At 55.8% G+C, this 17,027-nt stretch overlaps 1 protein-coding gene and 1 long non-coding RNA gene across 2 annotated transcripts in view, besides 3 other annotated features; one reads left to right on the forward strand and one right to left on the reverse strand.

Annotated features, from left to right (window-relative positions):
* NTSR1 (neurotensin receptor 1) overlaps nucleotides 1-17,027 on the forward strand; it is a 53,936-nt gene that overhangs the window by 20,726 nt on the left and 16,183 nt on the right. The window lies entirely within an intron of this gene.
* Nucleotides 369-5,798, reverse strand: NTSR1-AS1 (NTSR1 antisense RNA 1). Its single transcript, NR_199009.1, has 2 exons — nucleotides 5,665-5,798; nucleotides 369-3,621 (listed from the first exon to the last, which is right to left on the reverse strand). It is a non-coding gene; the product is annotated as an NTSR1 antisense RNA 1 (long non-coding RNA).
* Nucleotides 5,222-6,067: an enhancer, noted in NCBI's record as "H3K4me1 hESC enhancer chr20:61366135-61366980 (GRCh37/hg19 assembly coordinates)". NCBI's record gives its function as "activates a minimal SCP1, AML or CMV promoter by ChIP-STARR-seq in primed H9 embryonic stem cells {active_cell/tissue: H9 hESC(primed)}" and the evidence as "EXISTENCE:reporter gene assay evidence [ECO:0000049][PMID:30033119]".
* Nucleotides 10,199-11,398: an enhancer, noted in NCBI's record as "P300/CBP strongly-dependent group 1 enhancer chr20:61371112-61372311 (GRCh37/hg19 assembly coordinates)". NCBI's record gives its function as "activates an origin of replication core promoter dependent on BRD2, BRD4, P300/CBP, MED14 and CDK7 cofactors, with strong dependence on P300/CBP, by STARR-seq in HCT116 cells {active_cell/tissue: HCT116}" and the evidence as "EXISTENCE:reporter gene assay evidence [ECO:0000049][PMID:35650434]".
* Nucleotides 10,379-11,007: an enhancer, noted in NCBI's record as "H3K4me1 hESC enhancer chr20:61371292-61371920 (GRCh37/hg19 assembly coordinates)". NCBI's record gives its function as "activates a minimal SCP1, AML or CMV promoter by ChIP-STARR-seq in naive H9 embryonic stem cells {active_cell/tissue: H9 hESC(naive)}" and the evidence as "EXISTENCE:reporter gene assay evidence [ECO:0000049][PMID:30033119]".

Raw genomic sequence — 17,027 nt, forward strand, 5'->3', positions numbered from 1 at the left:
CCCCAGACCAACTGGATCAGAATCTCCAGGGCAGAGACCTAGAACTTGGGGCTAGGGGTTTCTAATTTTTTTTTTTTTTTTTTTTTTGAGATGGAGTCTCGCTCTGTCACCCAGGCTGGAGTGCAGTGGCACGATCTCAGCTCTCCACCTCCCAGATTCAAGTGATTCTCCTGCCTCAGCCTTCTGAGTAGCTGGGATTACAGGAGCCCGCCACCTCCCTCAGCTAATGTTTTATATTTTTGGTAGAGACAGGGTTTCACCATGTTGTCCAGGCTGGTCTCAAACTCCTGACCTCAAGTGATCTGCCTGCCTCGGCCTCCCAAAGTGCTGGGATGACAGGCCTGAGCCACCATGCCTGGCCATCTAAATTGTTATTAATAGACTTTATTTTTTAGAACAGTTGTAGAGAAGCGTTGAGCCCACAGGACAGCGGCTCCATGGTGTCTCCTGGCCCTCACCTGTTAATAACAGGTGTCTCCCTGTTATTAACATTTTGCATTAGTGTGGTACATTGTTACAATTAATGAGCCAATATTGATACATTATTAAGGAAAGTCTGCAGTTTATATTAGGGTTCATCAGTCTTGTACCTTCTGTGGGTTTGGACAAATGTGTAATGTCCTATATCTACCATCCCAGGATCCTGCAGAAGAGTTTCATTGCCCGAAAAAATCCTTGGAGCTCCACCTGTTTATTCCTCCCTCCCCACAACCCCTGGCACCCACTGATCCTCTTACTGTCTTTCCAGTTTGTCTTACCCAGAACGTCACACAGCTGGGATTATACCGTATGCAGCCTTTTCAGACCAGCTTCTTTCCCTTCGCAGTATGTAGTTGAGGTTTCTCCCTGTCTTTTCATGGCTTGATAGCTTGTTCTTTTTACGGCTGAATAATATTCCATTATCTGGATGTCCCCCAGCTTGTTTATTCACTCAGCTATTGATGGACATCTTGGTTTTTGGCATTTATGAAGAAGGCTGCTATAAACATACATGTGCAGGTTTCTGTGTGGCTTTCACCCCTTTGGGAGTAGAAATGCCAAGGAGGGCGATCGTTGGAACACGTGGTAAGGATACGTTGAGCTTTGTAGGAAGTTGCCAAAGTGCCTTCCAGCACGGCTGCGCCATTTTGAATTCCCAGCAGCCACGGGTGAGGGCGGTTCTGTTGCTCCGCAGCCTTGCCAGCGTTTGGTGTCGTCAGGATCTTGGTTTTGGTTTTTGTAGCCATTCTCATTTGATCTCATTGTTTTAATCGACATTTCTCTAATGACATATGATGTGGAGCATTTTTCTTGTGCTTATTTTTCCATTGCTACGTCTTCTTTGATGAGGTGTCTATTCAGATGTTTTGCCCATTTCTTCATGTTTGTTTCCTTATTGTTGAGTTGTAAAAGTTCTTTATATATTTTGGATAACACTCCTTTATCAAGTATTTTGCAAATATTTTTTCCTAGGCTGTATCTTGTCTTCTCATTCGTTTAACAGTGTCATTTTTAGAGCGTTTTTGTTTTGTTTTGTTTTTGTTTTTTCTTTTTTGTTTTTGAGACGGAGTTTCGCTCTTGTTGCCCAGGCTGGAGTGTAATGGCACAATCTCGGCTCACCACAACCTCCGCCTCCCGGGTTCAAGTGATTCTCCTGCCTCAGCCTCCCGAGTAGCTGGGATTACAGGCGTGCACCACCATGCCCAGCTAATTTTGTATTTTTAGTAGAGATGGGGTTTCTCCATGTTGGTCAGGCTGGTCTTGAACTCCTGACCTCAGGTGATCCACCCGCCTTGGCCTCCAAAAGTGCTGGGATTACAAGTGTGAGCCACCACGCCCAGCCGTGTAATTTCTTAATTTTAATGAAGTCCAGCTTATTCATTTTTTTTGTGGATTATGCTTTTGATGTTGCATCTAAAAACTCATTGCCAAACCCAAGATACCTAGATTTTATACCCAAGATACCTAGATTTTATTACCTAGAAATTTTATTATCTTGTATTTTATATTAAATAAAATGTGTTATTATCTATAAATTGTATTATCTTGCATTTTATATTAAGGTCTGTGAGGCCTTTTGAGTTAATTATCCTGAAAGGTATAAGACCCATTTTTTTCTACATGTGGATGTCAGTTGTTCCAGCACCATCTGTTGAAAGACAGTCTTTTCAACATCAATAACTTTTGCTTCTTTCTCAAAGATCATTTGCCCATGCATGTGTCCGTCCACTTCTGGGCTCTCTTTTCTGTTCCATTGGAATATTTGTCTGTTCTTTAGCCACGATTACACTTTACTGGCTGGGTGTGGTGGCTCACGCCTGTAATCCCAGCACTTTGGGAGGCCGAGGCGGGTGGATCACTTGAGGTCAGGAGTTCGAGGCCAGTCTGGCCAATATAGTGAAACCCCCATCTCTACTAAAAATACAAAAATTAGCCAGGTATGGTGGCAGGTGCCTGAAATCCCAAGTACTCAAGAGGCTGAGGCAGGAGAATCACTTGAACCCAGGAGGCAGAGGCTGCAGTGAGCCAAGATTGTGTCACCATACTCCAGCCTGGGCGACAGAGTGAGACTCCATTTCAAAAAAAAAAAAAAAATTACACTGTACCGATAACTGGGGCTTTATAGCAAGTGTTGAAATCGGTAGTGTCCATCCTGTGAACTCACAGTATGACGTTAAATAGGAGTGAGGATAGGGGGCCTCCCTGCCTCCTTCCCTATCTTAGGAAGAAAAGCTTCAGGTTTGTCACCATTGAGTATGACATGGGCTGTAGGTTTTTAGTAGATGTTCTCTACCAAGCTGAGGGAGTTCCCTTGTATTCCTGGCTTGTGAAAGGTTTTTCTCACAGATGGGTGTTGGGTTTTGGAAAATAGTTCCTGTTGCCATGATGGATTTCGATAATCTGTTTCCGAACCCTGGAGCAGCCTCGCATGCCTGGAATAAATCCTGTGCTGTCTAATTCTTACCATGTAGCGCTGCATGAGATTCGCTGCTATTTGTGTAATTCTTAGTATGTGGTGCTGGTTGGGAAATCCTGTGGTGTATAATTCTTAGTATGTGATGCTGGATTTGCTGCTGTTTTGTTGAGGGTTTTTGCATCTGTGTTCATGAGACATCCTGGTCTGCGTTTTCCTTTCTTGTAACATCCTCGGTTTTGTTATTGGGGTAATGCCGGCCTCGTAGAGTGAGTTATAAAGTGTTCCTCTGCTTCTATTTCCTGGAAGAGACTGTAGAGAGTATCTATCATCTGTTCCTTAAATGCAAGGTAGAATTCTAAGTCCGTGTCCCTGCGTGGCTCCAGGCACGCTGGTTCCCCATCTGACCCTCCGCTTGCTTTTCCTCGGGCTCTCCCTGCCTGGGCCTGGAGGACCACAGCGGGCACAGGGGGCGGCTCAGGCTGAGAACCAACGGCGCTGACGTCGCCTAAAGGGGGTTCCCAGCTGGCAGCCTCCAGGTGCTGGAATGTTTCTCGGTGAGAAGCCGCCACGGGAGTCTGTGGACTTGTCACATCACCCGCAGGCGTGGCCCTGAGGCCACGTATCCAAGCAGCAGTGCCGTGCATATTCATGTCGGCATTGGACTTGCAAATTCTGAGTGAAGTAAATGTCATCGGCAGTGTGTAGACGTTCTTTCGGAAGAAGATCTGTCAGAGAAAATGCAAGCTGATTACCAGCCTAACAGAGAAATGTGCATCCCGGTCCCCGCAGGGCCACCCTGGAGGCACCTCTGCACCTCCCAGGCACAGCTCTGGGAAGGCTGAAAATTAGCACCAATTAGGGAAGAATGAAGCTCTTGGTTCCCTCCTGAAGCACTTGGTTGAAGCTTGCTGCGCTCCTTTCCGGGAGCAAATGAGCATCTCTCGGGACAGTTGTGTTTCCCTTGGGCAGGGAGCCACTGGCAGCTCCCCAGTGGGAATCGTGCCTTCTAGTCCAGATTTCCACTTTGGAAAGGGAAGGTTCTAGAAAGTTCTGGAAAGCTCGGCTGTGGCTGACTCCTGGCTTAGGGCTCAGGCCTGTCTCACCTAGCAATGCAGGGTGAGCCATGTGGGCTGGCTTCTGGGGATGGGGAGGAGAGATACACACATGGAGAAAAAGAGGGAGATAGAGAAGAGAGAGGGAGAGAGAAAAGGAAAGAGAGGAGAGAGGGAAAGGCAGAGAGAGAAACAGAGGGAGAAACACAAAGAGAGGGAGAGAAGGAGAGAGAGACACAGAGAGAAAGGGAGGAACAGAGGAGAGAGAGGGGAGGAGGGGGAGGGAGACAGCACCCTCTTCTCCCTACCCTTGCCTGGGGTCTCAGCTGAGAGAGGGAAGGCTCTGTGCTGGGGAAGAGGCCTCCAGCAGGGAGTAGTGACTGATGAATGTATGATTGCTACTTTATCTCAATAGAGGATTCGAACAGCCCCCAGGCAGGGTCGCATTTTAAATGATGGTTTTGGGTGCTGAGCCAGCCCAGCTTGGAGGGGGTTTCGTTTCACAGATGAGGAGCCTGAGGCTGGGGGAAGCCACTTGCTCAGATGCACACGGCTGGGGCCGGCGGCAGGTTTGCCCGACCTCGAGTCTGCGCTTCTCATCCTGGAAGCGACCGCCTTGTCCCCTGCGCAGCCTCCTTCTCTGGCTCAGCCACGTGGGTTACTACTGAGTTCACTCTTCAGCCCTGGTGGGGGACGGGCAAGAGATGGGGCGTGAGGGGCGGGCGGAGGCAGCGAGGTCTGGGATGAGAGCTTTTCTGGAGCCTTCTCTGGAGTGTGACCCCCTTCCCCGCAAAAAAAAAAAAAAATCTTGGCTCAGCTCTTGGGCTTCGGTGCAGTAGGGGCTTTGTGGCCGATGCAGAGGAAGCCGAGCTCTGCTCCTGGAAGGACGTGGCCCCTTGTCTTACCCAGGCTTCATTTTGGGGCCATCTTTTTAGGTGGTTGAAAATGAGTAACTCATTCTTGACCTTGTGCAATGCCCACGCCCTGTGTCCGGGGCTGACCTGGAGGCTCTGGGTTCTCTGCTGAGCAGAGCTGGGGCCAAGACCACCCCTGGGGAGCGAGGAGCAGGCGCTGGTGTGCCTGGCCCAGGTGGCTTCCCATAAAAGCTGCAGGCAGCCCTGTCTAATGTGGCAGCCCTGGGCCACACGTGGCCACTGGGCATTGAGACATGGCTGGTCTGAGTGAAGATGAGCTTCAGCCTGAAATCCGCACCGGGTTTTAGAGTTAATGCGGAAAGGCGGTATACAATAGCTCACTAATACCGTTGCAAGTTGATATGATATTTTGAATACATTAAGTTAAATAAGATATCGTATTAAAATTATCATAGCTGTTTCCTTCCACTTTTGTAACATAGCTACTGGTACATTTAAGCCTCACGTGGCCTGCATCCTATTTCCACGGGACTGTGCTGCCCGAGCCCCTCCCTGCTGATGAGAAGCAGCCCTCGGGTGGCTTTGGGGTGTGTCCAGAGCCTGTACAGCCTCCCCTTGGGGTGGGGTGCCGCGTGCGGGGTGCCAGGCACCAGCCGGTGCTGAGGCCCCATGTGGAGGCAGCCCTGCATGATGGGCAGCAACCAGTGGGGTGCCATCGTGTGCGGTGACGTGCACACTAAAGAAAGACGCTCAGCTCCCTCCTCTGCCCCGCCTGGCCGCCAGCTCAGTGCCAAAACCATGGTTAGGGGGTGGGAGGCCACGGGTGCCCTTGGGGACCTACCAGGCCTGCAGGGTCCTTGGCAGAGGGGCAGTGCCTGGCACCAGGAGGACACTGTGCTGGAAGGTCAGCCTGTTCCCACAGCCAGGGATGTGGGGCTCCCAGGTAGCCCCATTCATAGTTATTTGAATTGCTGTGATGGAGGCAGGCGGAAGAGGTGGGACTGCGAGGGAAGGCAGGGGCCCCCCGGGGAGAGAGTGGGTGCCTCCTTCCCTTTCCTCAAAGCCCAACGGCCTTGCAGTGAGACTGCCACTATACAACAAAGAGCCAGCACCGCTGTGCACGCTGGAGTCTCACAGATGAGCCGATTATGTCTTTGTGACAAACACATTATTAGGAGTGAGATGAATTCCTTCTGTGGGCGGGGATGATTCAGAGAGAGGCGTCCCAGCCCCAGGAACAGCCTCCCCGCAAGGTGGCCTCAGCCTCCCCCATGCTCCCCTGGAGGCCGCTCCCTGGCTTGGGGGGTGGGTAACACGGGAGTCCCCCCGACACGGCGAGGTGAGCTCACCTCCTGAGGCTGGCGTGCAGGGAAGTAGGAAAGGGCACACACTGCGACCGGGGACCAGGGACAGGGTCTTCCCCGCTGTGACCTGTGGGGCTGTGCAGGGGGCGGGAGCAGCCCCCATCCCAAAAGGAAATGGGACAGGAGTTGCCAAGAACAGTTCCCCTTACCCTCCAATTCCTCACGGGTTCAGCACTTTCTCTGAGGGGGTCTGGTCTGAATCCCAAATTCAGATTCTGTATTCAACTGTTCCCTTCATTACAAAGAACAAATTTCCGAGCCCAGTAATTCCCGTTTAAATTTGTCAATTTTCATCCCTCGATAGAAATCAGTATGTGGTGATCACAAAAGCCGGGGTATTAGCCCAGTGGACAGTTTGTTCTGAAACTTGTCCCTTCGGGGCAGGGCCTGGGTTAGGAGGCCTGAGATCTGCCTGGAGCCTGGGGTGCCTCGGGCAGGGGCATCGTGGCTGGGGATTCTCTGCACTTGCCCCATGGAGCAGGGCGGGAAGGGAAGCCAGGCTCCTTTCCCTGTCTGGGTCTGGGGCTGCTGCCCTTGGCAGCTGGGGAGACCCTGGGACCCCAGAGGCAGAGCCCCACTCTCTGTACCCTCAGGCGCAATGCCCTGAAAGACAGGCGCCACTTTGTCTTCAGAAAGGCAGGAACCAAACCCCTCTCACAGTTCCAGAAGCTTCCCTGAGTCCCAGTTTAGACGCAGAATCTCCTCTGTGGATCACTCCAACTGGGGAACCAGGAGAGGGGGTTTGGGAGAGGAGGGAAGTGGCTTCCACCTGTGGGTGGGGCAAAGAGAGGGCTCCCAGCTATGCAGGGCGGGCCCAAACCTCCAGCAGAGCCCCTTTCCCAGCGAGGACTCCGAGGACTCCGAGGCCCTGGCCTGTGGCTCCCAGGGAACAACCTGGACCCTCAGCATAGGACCCGCAAGCTGAGACCCTCCTCTGTTTTACTGCTTCATTTTCCATCTGTGACCAGGGCCCAGGCCACATGCACACACCTGGCGTAGGAGTTACTTCGTGATGTGTTTGGCTGTGTCCCCACCCAAAATCTCATGGGAATTGTAATCCCCATAATGCCCCGTGTCAAGGGCAGGACCAGGGGGAGGTGACTGGATCGTGGGGGCGGTTCCCCCAGGCAGTTCTTGTGAGAGTGAATCTCATGAGATCTGATGGTTTTAGAAGCGTCTGGCGTTTGCCCTGCTGTCACTCACACCGTCCTGCTGCCCAGTGAAGAAAGTGCCTGCTTCTCCCTCCACCATGATTGTAGGTCTCCTGAGGCTCCCCCAGCCCTGCAGAACTGTGAGTCAATTCAACCTCTTTCCTTTATAAACTACACAGTCTCGGCAGTTCTTTAGAGCAGTGCGAAAATGGACTCACACACTTGGCCTGGGCCCAGTCTTTCCCGGATGGATGGTGCGATGATCAGCCCCGTGTTCGTGAGGACGGGGCCAACCCAGACCCACCTGGAGTTGTAAAGTTTCATCAGCACTCAGCCCCACCTGCTCATGTACGTACTGCTATGGCTGTGTTGGCCACAGCGGCCACAGTGAGTGGTTCTGCTCAAAAGTTGAGATCCTCCGGCCCACGAAGCCACAGTGACTCACTCTCTGGACCTTCACAGAAAGCATTCACCCACCCCACCCTAGGATGCGTGTCCAGAGGTGAAATGGCTCCCTCCGTGCAGTCGGAGAGCCCCTTGACTCACGGCTGCACCCCTGCTCATCAGGCACAGCGGCAGGCACGTGACCTCTGTGGGGCCACTTGTCCTACTTGCAGGGAGGGGCCGAGCATGGGATGCAGCATCCACGCCTGCACTTAAACGAGCCCTCTGTGGCCTTGCCCCACTCGGCCTGAGGAGAGCCTGGAGAGAGATGCCGTCCCTGCCTGGGCGCTGCGATCCTCCTTCCTTCCCACCTGCTCTCGTCCCCACATCTGCCCATCGCCAGGTCCAGCCCCGGATGCAGGCCACACCTGGGTCCCTCCCTGGCCCCACCCCTGAGAGCAAACCCAGAATGCAGTTGTGGCTGCAGCGGCCTCCTGCTTTACCTCCTGCTGCTGCTTCCCACTTCTGAGCTGCTCCAAGTCCAGGATTGATGACCTGACCCCTGCCCCCGGTCCTCCCCACCCCCCACACCCCTGCACCACCTCACACACTCTTACCTCCTTCCTCCTGGCCCACAGATGCCCTTCAGCCCTGCAGCCTCTGCGTAAAGCTCCCTCCTCTGGAAAATGGCCCCTTATCTCCCCCAGACCACGCTGCATGCCCCCTGGTCCTCCGCAACAGCCGCATCCCTTTCCCTGCAGTGCCCATCTGCCCACGTCTGCCCCCCTCCCCCTCCTCTGCCTATGCCAGGTGCCTTGGATGCATCAGGTGCACCGTCAGGGCTTTTGAAGGCTCCACGAGGCGGGCCTGGGCACGCAGTGCACGCAGAGGGTGATGGAGGGTGCTAGATGGCCGGCCTGGATGAACCCAGGTGCACGCAGAGGGTGACGGAGGGTGCTAGATGGCCGGCCTGGATGAACCCAGGGACAGGGACAGACAAGGCAGGTGCAGCCACTGAGTTCTGGAACATTCCAAGAAGAGTCAGGCAAACTACTCCCTGCTCAGGTCTGCAGCCCGGCTTGGGGAGAAGCCTGCAGCTGTGGGGTCAGCCTCCCAGCTGCCAGCAGTAATAGCCCGAGCCATGGGGAGGCCTCGTTTCCTAAAAAGGCCTCAGCTGCCGCTGCGTTCCTGCAGGGTGGAAGGACAGGCTGATGACCACCAGCGAAGTATCATGAAAATCTCCCGGCGAGCCTATGAGCCGTACATTTGTCTCTCTCTAGAGACAGGCTTCTCCTGGAGCCAATCAGCCCTCTGGCTTTCATGGGCTCCTACCTTGCAAGGTGGCCACAGGCCTCAGCCGTGCCTGTGTTGGCAGGGAGCCCTGTGCACTGCCTCTCTTCTGCCCGCGGGGTTAGCATGGCAGGAACCCGGGCTGGAGGCTGGGAACACGTCCAGGCTCACGCTGGTCCTCGAGGTGGCTCCAGCCTTGCTGCTCTTGGCAGCAGAGATGGCGGAGGGTCTAGGTCTCAGGCCAGAGATCTCCAAAATGGACCAGCCCATCCCCTTCCATCATGAGGAGGAGACAGGGCCAGCACGAGAAGGGAAATATGCTCAGGGTCACTCAGCGAGGCCAAAATCCTGGGCTGCCTTGTTCTTGACTCTAGGATCTAGAAATGGGAAAGCTGGGACTTGTCGCCTCCCCAGTGATCTATCTTTTACACACGCGTGTTTTCATGCACTGAGCCATTCATAAAACAGAAAAGCCAAGCCTCCTCACTGTTGTAAAGGAAAGCCCTGCGTGGCTGTGAGGGAGACGCGTGTGGAACCTCATGTCGTGTGGCGCCGTTGGGGACCCGTTGGGCTCTTGAGACTGAACCGGGACAGGCTGAGAGGCTCTCCAGGACACTTCCGGGCAGCAGGCCCCCTCTGGCTGTGCTTGACCCTGGCCCCTGGGCCCTCTTGGTTCACCAAGTCTCCCACGTCCTATGCTCTTGAGATCCCAGACTCGGCACTGGATGGGGTGGCCCTGGGTCCCACTGCTGTTCCAGAGCACTGGCCCTTCCTTTCGGCCACTCAGGGTAGAGGCTGGAGCCCCTGGAATCACACAGAAGGGGCCTGGCTGAAGCACAAAGGGTGGAGATCTGGGGTTAAGCCAGAGCCTGGGGCCCCCTGAGCCCAGGGGCTGGGCAGCTGGGGAAGCAAGGAGAGCCAGGTGTCACTGAGTCAGTCCCTCCCATGCAGGTACTTGGGGGTGTGAGGGGCCGCCCCCGGCCTTCCTCTCTCACCCCTACGGCCTCTTCCGGTGGGTGAGGACACTTGGCTCTGTGTGTTCACCATAATCAGATTCACCACAACAGGGCAGAACACTAATTCCACTGACACCGCTGAGATGCTGTGTAGAGCCAGATGTCTGTGGGACACGGCGGCCAGCTTTGCCAGGGCGTGGCCACTAGGCGCTGGGAGGGGCAGGATGTGCCTGATGCCCATATGTCTGCATGGCAGAAAAGCACACAGAGAACCGTGGGGCTGGAGGTGCAGCGGCCGGCGACGGCCAGAACTGGAGAACAGGCCGGCGGGGTGCGGGACGCATATGCTGTCCCGCAGGCAACTGGGAACACTTGCTCTTTTCCAAATCTGTGCTCTGACATGGAAAGTTAAGTCGTGCTGGGACTGCTGGCCCCTGGCCGCACCGCCTCGTCCCCAGCTGCAGGGCCTCCCCCTTGATCACAGCAGCTCCTCCTTGGTCACAGCTGGGGCTTTGCACAAACTCCCCGGAAACCCAGGGCTTGCGTTTGCAGGTCTCTGGGCTTTTCCTGCATGGAGCAGAGAACTTTTCCGGATGGTGTGGCTTTTTTCAAGGAACCGGGCTCCAAAGCGCTCTGTGCTAAGTGTGTTAGCTCCACTTCTGATCTGTCACGTTAGTGCCCTGCGTTTTAGAAAAGTATGAACGAAAGCCTCAGCAAACCGGATCGAACGGGCTCATTCGCAGCCATAGGGTGAGCGGCAGGCAGATCTTACAAGCCGTGCAGGCCGGAAGGAAAAGGGTTGTGGGGCTCATTCTTAGTCATAGGGTGAGCGGCAGGCAGATCTTATAAGCCGCACAGGCCGGAAGGAAAAGGGTTGTGGGGCTCATTCTTAGTCATAGGGTGAGCGGCAGGCAGATCTTACAAGCCGTGCAGGCCGGAGGGAAAAGGGTTGTGGGGCTCATTCTTAGTCATAGGGTGAGCGGGAGACAGATCTTACAAGCCGTGCAGGCGGGAGGGAAAAGGGTTGTGCCGACAGTCTGAGGGTGGAGACCAGAGCTGTGGACTCGAGCCCAGGGGAGCCCCCACCTGGCCACGGTTTCCTCATCTGAGAAACAGGAGTGCGAGGCCCTACCAGGGATCCTTCCCGCTCAGATCCCCAGAGAGGTGGGGGCCGTGACCGGGGCCAGAATTCCACCCCTCACTCACTGCTCTGCGCAGCCTCCTGGGCTTGTCAAGAGTTTTTAAAGCCCTGTCGTGCTTCCCAGCAGATGCCTTGTGGGTGTGAGCATTCTCATGGGCTTGAAGCTGGCAGATATTTGAAAACATGGCAGAGACCTGCAGCCCGCAGCCTCAACCGCTGGCTGTCACCTGCCGCTGCCTGTGATTTACTCTTGAGAAGTGCTGGAGCAGCTGAAAAGCAACTCGCCACCCCAGCACTGCCCTCAGAGTGACTAATGGGGCACACTGGGGTTCTGGGCCCCGGCCAGGCTCAGCGAGGGGAGGGCCGTTCCCGGGGCTGAGGGCCAGGGGCCTCCCCTCCTCCTGTCCTGGAGGGCACCTGCCCAGCACAGGTAGAGGAGGCAAGGGTGTCAGGAAGGCTCTTTCCCTAATCTGACTAAGGCCCTCTGGGCTAAGTCAGGGGTCTCCCGGCAGCCAGGCTGCTAAGTCAGGGGTCTCCCGGCAGCCAGGCTGCTGCCAGTCCCGCAGCTCAGCCGGGCACAGACAGGATGTGGCTTCCAGGGGCTTCTGTTCTGCCAAGTCCCCACTCAGACAATGGCCTCTATAGCTCCAGCAATCAGGAGGGAAAAGATTCCAACTCCCACACTCAGGGCTCCCTGCTGCCTGGAAGAGGAGAGGAGGGCAAACCTCTTGCAGAGGTGACGGGTGACTCACCAGCCCCGCTCAGAGGACGGGTCTGCAGGTGGCCAGAGTTCTCCTGATGGGGTCCTTGCCCCCAGCTGGCTTGGGGGTCCCTACACCGGCCCCCTGCCCCACACCATGTTCCTCCCACCCCATGTCTGTGCGCCCCTTCGAGCATGCCTGGGCATTGTCCATGGTACTGAACCCCTGAGGCTCCCTGGGGCTCTGGCATTCTCTTGAGCCTTTCCCAGAAATTCCAAACCAGAAGAAAAGTGCAGGGAACAGAGTGGAGGAGCCATGGACAGAGGCTGTGGGGCAGGCTCAGTCCCTGAGAGGTCGCCAAGGAGCCACAGCCTTGGACTAGATGCTCTCAAAACCTGGCAATGGCCCACAGAAGGCATCTGCTCAGGTGAGGTACATGCCACAAAGCTTCACCAGTGGGGATGAGGATCTGCTCATAGGATGGCCCCTGATGGAGGAAGTGGGAGCTCAGGCTGTGGGATCAGGCCCCTGGGTTCACAACTGTGCCTGGGTTTCTTTATCTACAAAAGGAGCCTGACAGGAGCCTCTGCCTCACAGATGAGACCTGTGTGCCTGAGGTGGTGCACACAGAGTATGTGTAGACCCCAGGACAGTCGATGTCAGCTAGAAAGTGAAGGTTAGAGGAATTCAAACCGTTATTTTTAATACTGAGCCAAAACCTGCACATCAGAGCTCTCTGATGGAGGCGTGGACGGGGTCGTGAGGGGCCAAGTACTAGCCAGAAGCTGCGCCGTCCATTTCATCCCCTCCCCACAGTGGTCCCACAGACACCGAGGTGGCTGACATGGCCCCTCCAGGTCACACGCCTGTTCTCTCTCCAGTCCTGCCCTCAGGGACTCAGAAATGCTGGCGTTCCAGGAGGTGGTGTGTGGGCTCCTCCTCAGGCCAGGTCTGTGGTCACTGCTGACCACGCGGCAATGTACGGCTTTCCAGGCCCCCATCCACCATGAGTCAGGCGTGTCCCCACTGGGCAGCAAGTCCCACAGCTTTGCATTCCAGATCCCAGCAGCATCTCGAGCCGGGCCTGGTACTGCTTAGATGCCTGGGAGGGAGGACCGAGGAAAGAGACTGGGGACTGAGGGACAGCACAGTATCCCAAGCTGGCCACTACCAGAACCTTCTAGAACAAGGTCACACTGGCAGTTCTTTATGCCTTCCGTCCTCTGCTCCCCAGACACCTGTTTACACAGGGCCCTAGGTCTCAGGTGTCCTGTGGGTGGCCGCTGCTTTTCCCTGGGTCCCTCCATGGTGTCTCCTCTGAGGACAGCCACTGGTCAGAGCCTCCTGGATGACCTCACTCCTGGAAAGCGCTGGGCTGTGTCACCTTAAAGACCCCTTTGCTCTCTTGGCCCTGGCACCCCACCTCTGGCATGGGGAGCAGAGACCCACCAGGGTTCCCATCCCTCTCCCCGCAGTGTTTCCCCAGTTCCAGGGCTGTGAGGTGGTCACAGTGGCTCTGGTGTGGCCGTGGGGTTCCTGTTCATCCCAGGGCACCTGTCACGGGACATACCCACAGCACAGGCAAGTGGAACGTTCTCTGAGTTTAGCTTTGTTTGTGTAGGTAGTTCACTGTGGGAGTCTAGCTTTTGGGGGACACACCTGAGACCCTCCCAGCTACCCTGCCCTCTCCCCAGATCAGCTCGGTAGGCTCCAATCCAGAGAGTCAGGCTGGGAGGGGAGCACGGAGCCGCCCCTGCTGGACACGTATCCCGGCCATCTCAGGCCCACCCATTGCCTCATTGCTCCCTGCCCCCGGTCCAGTCAGCTGAGTGCCCCGTGGTGTGGGTGCGTCATGCCATGGCGACCAGCCCCAAAGGGTGAGCCTTTGAGTTGTTCACCAATCATTGGGGTTTCGAACAAGCCTGTGCTGACGGCCCTGGCACACAGGGTTTCTGAATTAACTCTGCCATCGTTCCTGGCCTCAGCTGTGGTGGGGAAGGCAGTTCGGGGTCATGAGAACCCTGAGGGTTGCTCCCAAGTCAGTGTTTGCTGGGTCTAGTGGGGGCCTCTCCACCTGGAGTCTGTCTGGGAGGTTAGAAAAGACCGTCCGTGAGCCTGGGCCCTGCTGGGGCTGGTCATCTGCTCAGGGAGAGGGCGATCCCCTGCCAGCCCAGCAAGGCCACCCCAGCGGTCACCCCCTTGGGAGGGTGTGGACAGGAGCCTCCCCTCCCACCCGCCCCGCAGCCTCTGCAGCCATCTTACAAAGCCTCTGGGTTCTGCAAAGCAAAAGGGTTTTGCACCTTCCCACTCAGCACAGGCTGGCTGCGGAGCCGGGAAGCAGTGTGCCAGTCTGGGGCTGTCTCTTGATCTAAACACAATGGGATGAATTAGAGAGAAAGGCAGAATACAAAACAAGCAATTGCTCTCGAAGAGCGAGGTGAGAACGCCCTGCCTGAGGTCGAGGGGCTGAGGCCGGCTGTCTGGAGCCTGTGTCGGGGGCACCCTCCTGCTGTCTGGCTGTGCCCTCACCTGTGGGCAGGCATACCGTGTGCACCCCTCCCGCTCCCCACCTGGTCTCCACGGCCAAGCTCAGACCAACCACCCAGAGGCTGCGCCCCGGTCCAGATCCCCCTAACACACCTGCTGTTTCATTATCTAACCTTTCACTCCACCTCCGTCCTCCCCATCAAAATTACACATGCGAGGGGGCAGAGGCCAGGCTGTCCCTCCCATAGGTCCAGCCCCACCAGCCGTCGCCCCAGCGTGTCCCATCCCAGCCTCCCAAGCCGCAGTCCTGTGCCCCCCAATTTGCTTCCTTTCCCACACCCAAGGGAGCACAGTCAGTGCTCCAGGAACTGAGGCAGCACCTCTAGGCTCGCTCTTTTAGAAATGAGGCTGAGGGGCTGGACGCAGTGGCTCGTGTTTGTAATCCCAGCACTTTGGGAGGCCGAGGTGGGCGGGTCATGAGGTCAGGAGATCGAGACCATCCTGGCTAACATGGTGAAACCCTGTCTCTACTAAAAATACAAAAAAATTAGCCAGGCATGGCGGCGTGCACCTGTAGTCCCAGCTACTGGGGAGACTGAGGCAGGAGAATGGCGTGAACCCGGGAGGTGGAGCTTGCAATGAGCTGAGATCACACCACTGCACTCCAGCCTGGGTGACAGAACAAGACTCCGTCTCAAAAAAAAAAAAAAATACAAAATTAGCCAGGCATGGTGGCACATGCCTGTAATCCCAGCTACTCAGGAAGGCTGAGGCAGGAGAATCACTTGAACCTGGGAGACGGAGGTTGTGATAAGCAGAAATCGCGCCACTGCACTCCAGCCTGGGCAACAAGAGCAAAGCTCAGTCTCACAAAAAAAAAAGAGAGAAATGAGCCTGAGGCCCAGGAGGACCTGCCGAGCTCACAGCTGGCCAGGGAACAAGCCAGGCCCCCACTTCTGGCACCAAACCCCAGGCATTCGGCTGCTTCTGAGAGGCTTGAGGCCCTACCAACCACTCAAACGCCATTCCCAGACCCAGACAGGGCTAGGAGGCAAGGGGTAGCAGCTGAGGGGTGCACACAGCAGAGGATACTGCCAGAAGCACGAATGAGATTCCCATGGAGGCAGCCCCACCTCCAGACCACCACGGCTGTCACAGCAGACACCCCTGTCTCCCACCATGACCTTCTGCTCTGGAACATCCACCCCTAAAACCTCAGACCCAGCCACTGAGGCCCATGGCCCAGAGCCCAGCTACCCAGCCGGCTCCAGGGAGGGTGGCCCAGCCAGTTCCTGCCACCTGAGGATGTTGGTACACACACCAGACTCAGAGGGAGACCCAGACAGACAGCAACACAAAGACAGAGAGAGAGACACAGAGAGGAAAGCAGAGACACAGAGAGACATGGAGAGAGACACAGAGACAGAGAAACAGACACATAGAGGAAAACAGACACAGGGAGACACAGAGACAGAGATACAGAGACACAAGAAAACAGAGACAGAGATAGAGACAGAGACACAGAGATATAGAGATAGAGACACAGACTCAGGAAAACAGACAGAGAGAGACACAGGAGAACAGAGACACAGAGATACAGAGATAGAGACACAGGAACAACAGAGACACACAGACAGAGACAGACACAGGAAAACAGTGAAAGACAGAGACACAGAGGAAAACACACAGATATACAGAGAGAGACACAACAGAGACAGACACAGGAAGGAAAACATACAAGGAGACAGAGACACAGAAAAACACAGAGAAAAACACAGAGACATCACAGGAGAAAGATACAAAGACAGACAGAGACACATATTCTGCCTCGCCTCCAAATCCAGCTTGGCGTGGACCTCGCTGGGACTGGATGGCCTTCTCTACAGCTGCTGAACAGCCTCGCCGTCCCCAGGGCTTCCCTGCTGTTGGCCATGACCCTCCCCTGCTGCTTGGAATTGCAAAGCCAGGCGGTCTGGGAGTCCCAGCCACCACGCGTCCCCCAGAATATTCATGGGGCTGGGCCAGGTGACTCCCTGCTCTCTTTAGAGACAAATCGAAAGGCGCCAGGGTGCTGTGGCATCAGTGGCGCTGAGGCATCCTCTGGCCGGCCCTGCATGGCCTTCAAGCTGCTTGAGTCCATTGGACAAAGTCCCTCAAGGCCACCCTATGTGGCCAGGGCTGAGACGCCTAGAGAGGTAGACGCTCAGCCTGGGCAGGGACGGGGGCCACACTAGCAGAGGTCAGAGAAGGGGTCAGCCAGGGGGAAGGTCAAGGCTGCCGCCCGGCGGGTCACCACCAGGCCCCCACACTACCCCAGCCTGGCCGTCTGCTTCCTGTTCAGTTCTCACCCCCTGAGTTCTCAGGTCTGTGAGTTTGCTGGACCGTCTGCCAGGAGAGCTTAGGGTCCCTGTAGGCTTGTGGGTGCCATCAGGTCAGAGATGAGAAGTCACCTCCAAGCAGAGGCCTTCCCGGAACCCCCAGCACTACTGCAGCCAGGCTGCCGCCAGCATCGCTGTGTCTGTAGCTCTTATTGGCCCTGAAGTCACTGCAGGTGGTTCTTTCAGTGGTCTCTCCTCCCCAGGATCCAAGACCTCTGACGGCAGGGGCTCCTATGGCTTCTCCAAGGCAGTGATGTTTGTGGGAGGGAGGAAGGGAGAAAGGTGGAGGGAAGCTAGACTAACCAAGAAAAAAGAGAGAAGACATAGCTAAAATCAGATATGAAAGAGGAGA

This window comes from Homo sapiens, chromosome 20, assembly GCF_000001405.40.
Source record: "Homo sapiens chromosome 20, GRCh38.p14 Primary Assembly".
In the NCBI taxonomy this organism is placed as follows: domain Eukaryota; kingdom Metazoa; phylum Chordata; class Mammalia; order Primates; family Hominidae; genus Homo; species Homo sapiens.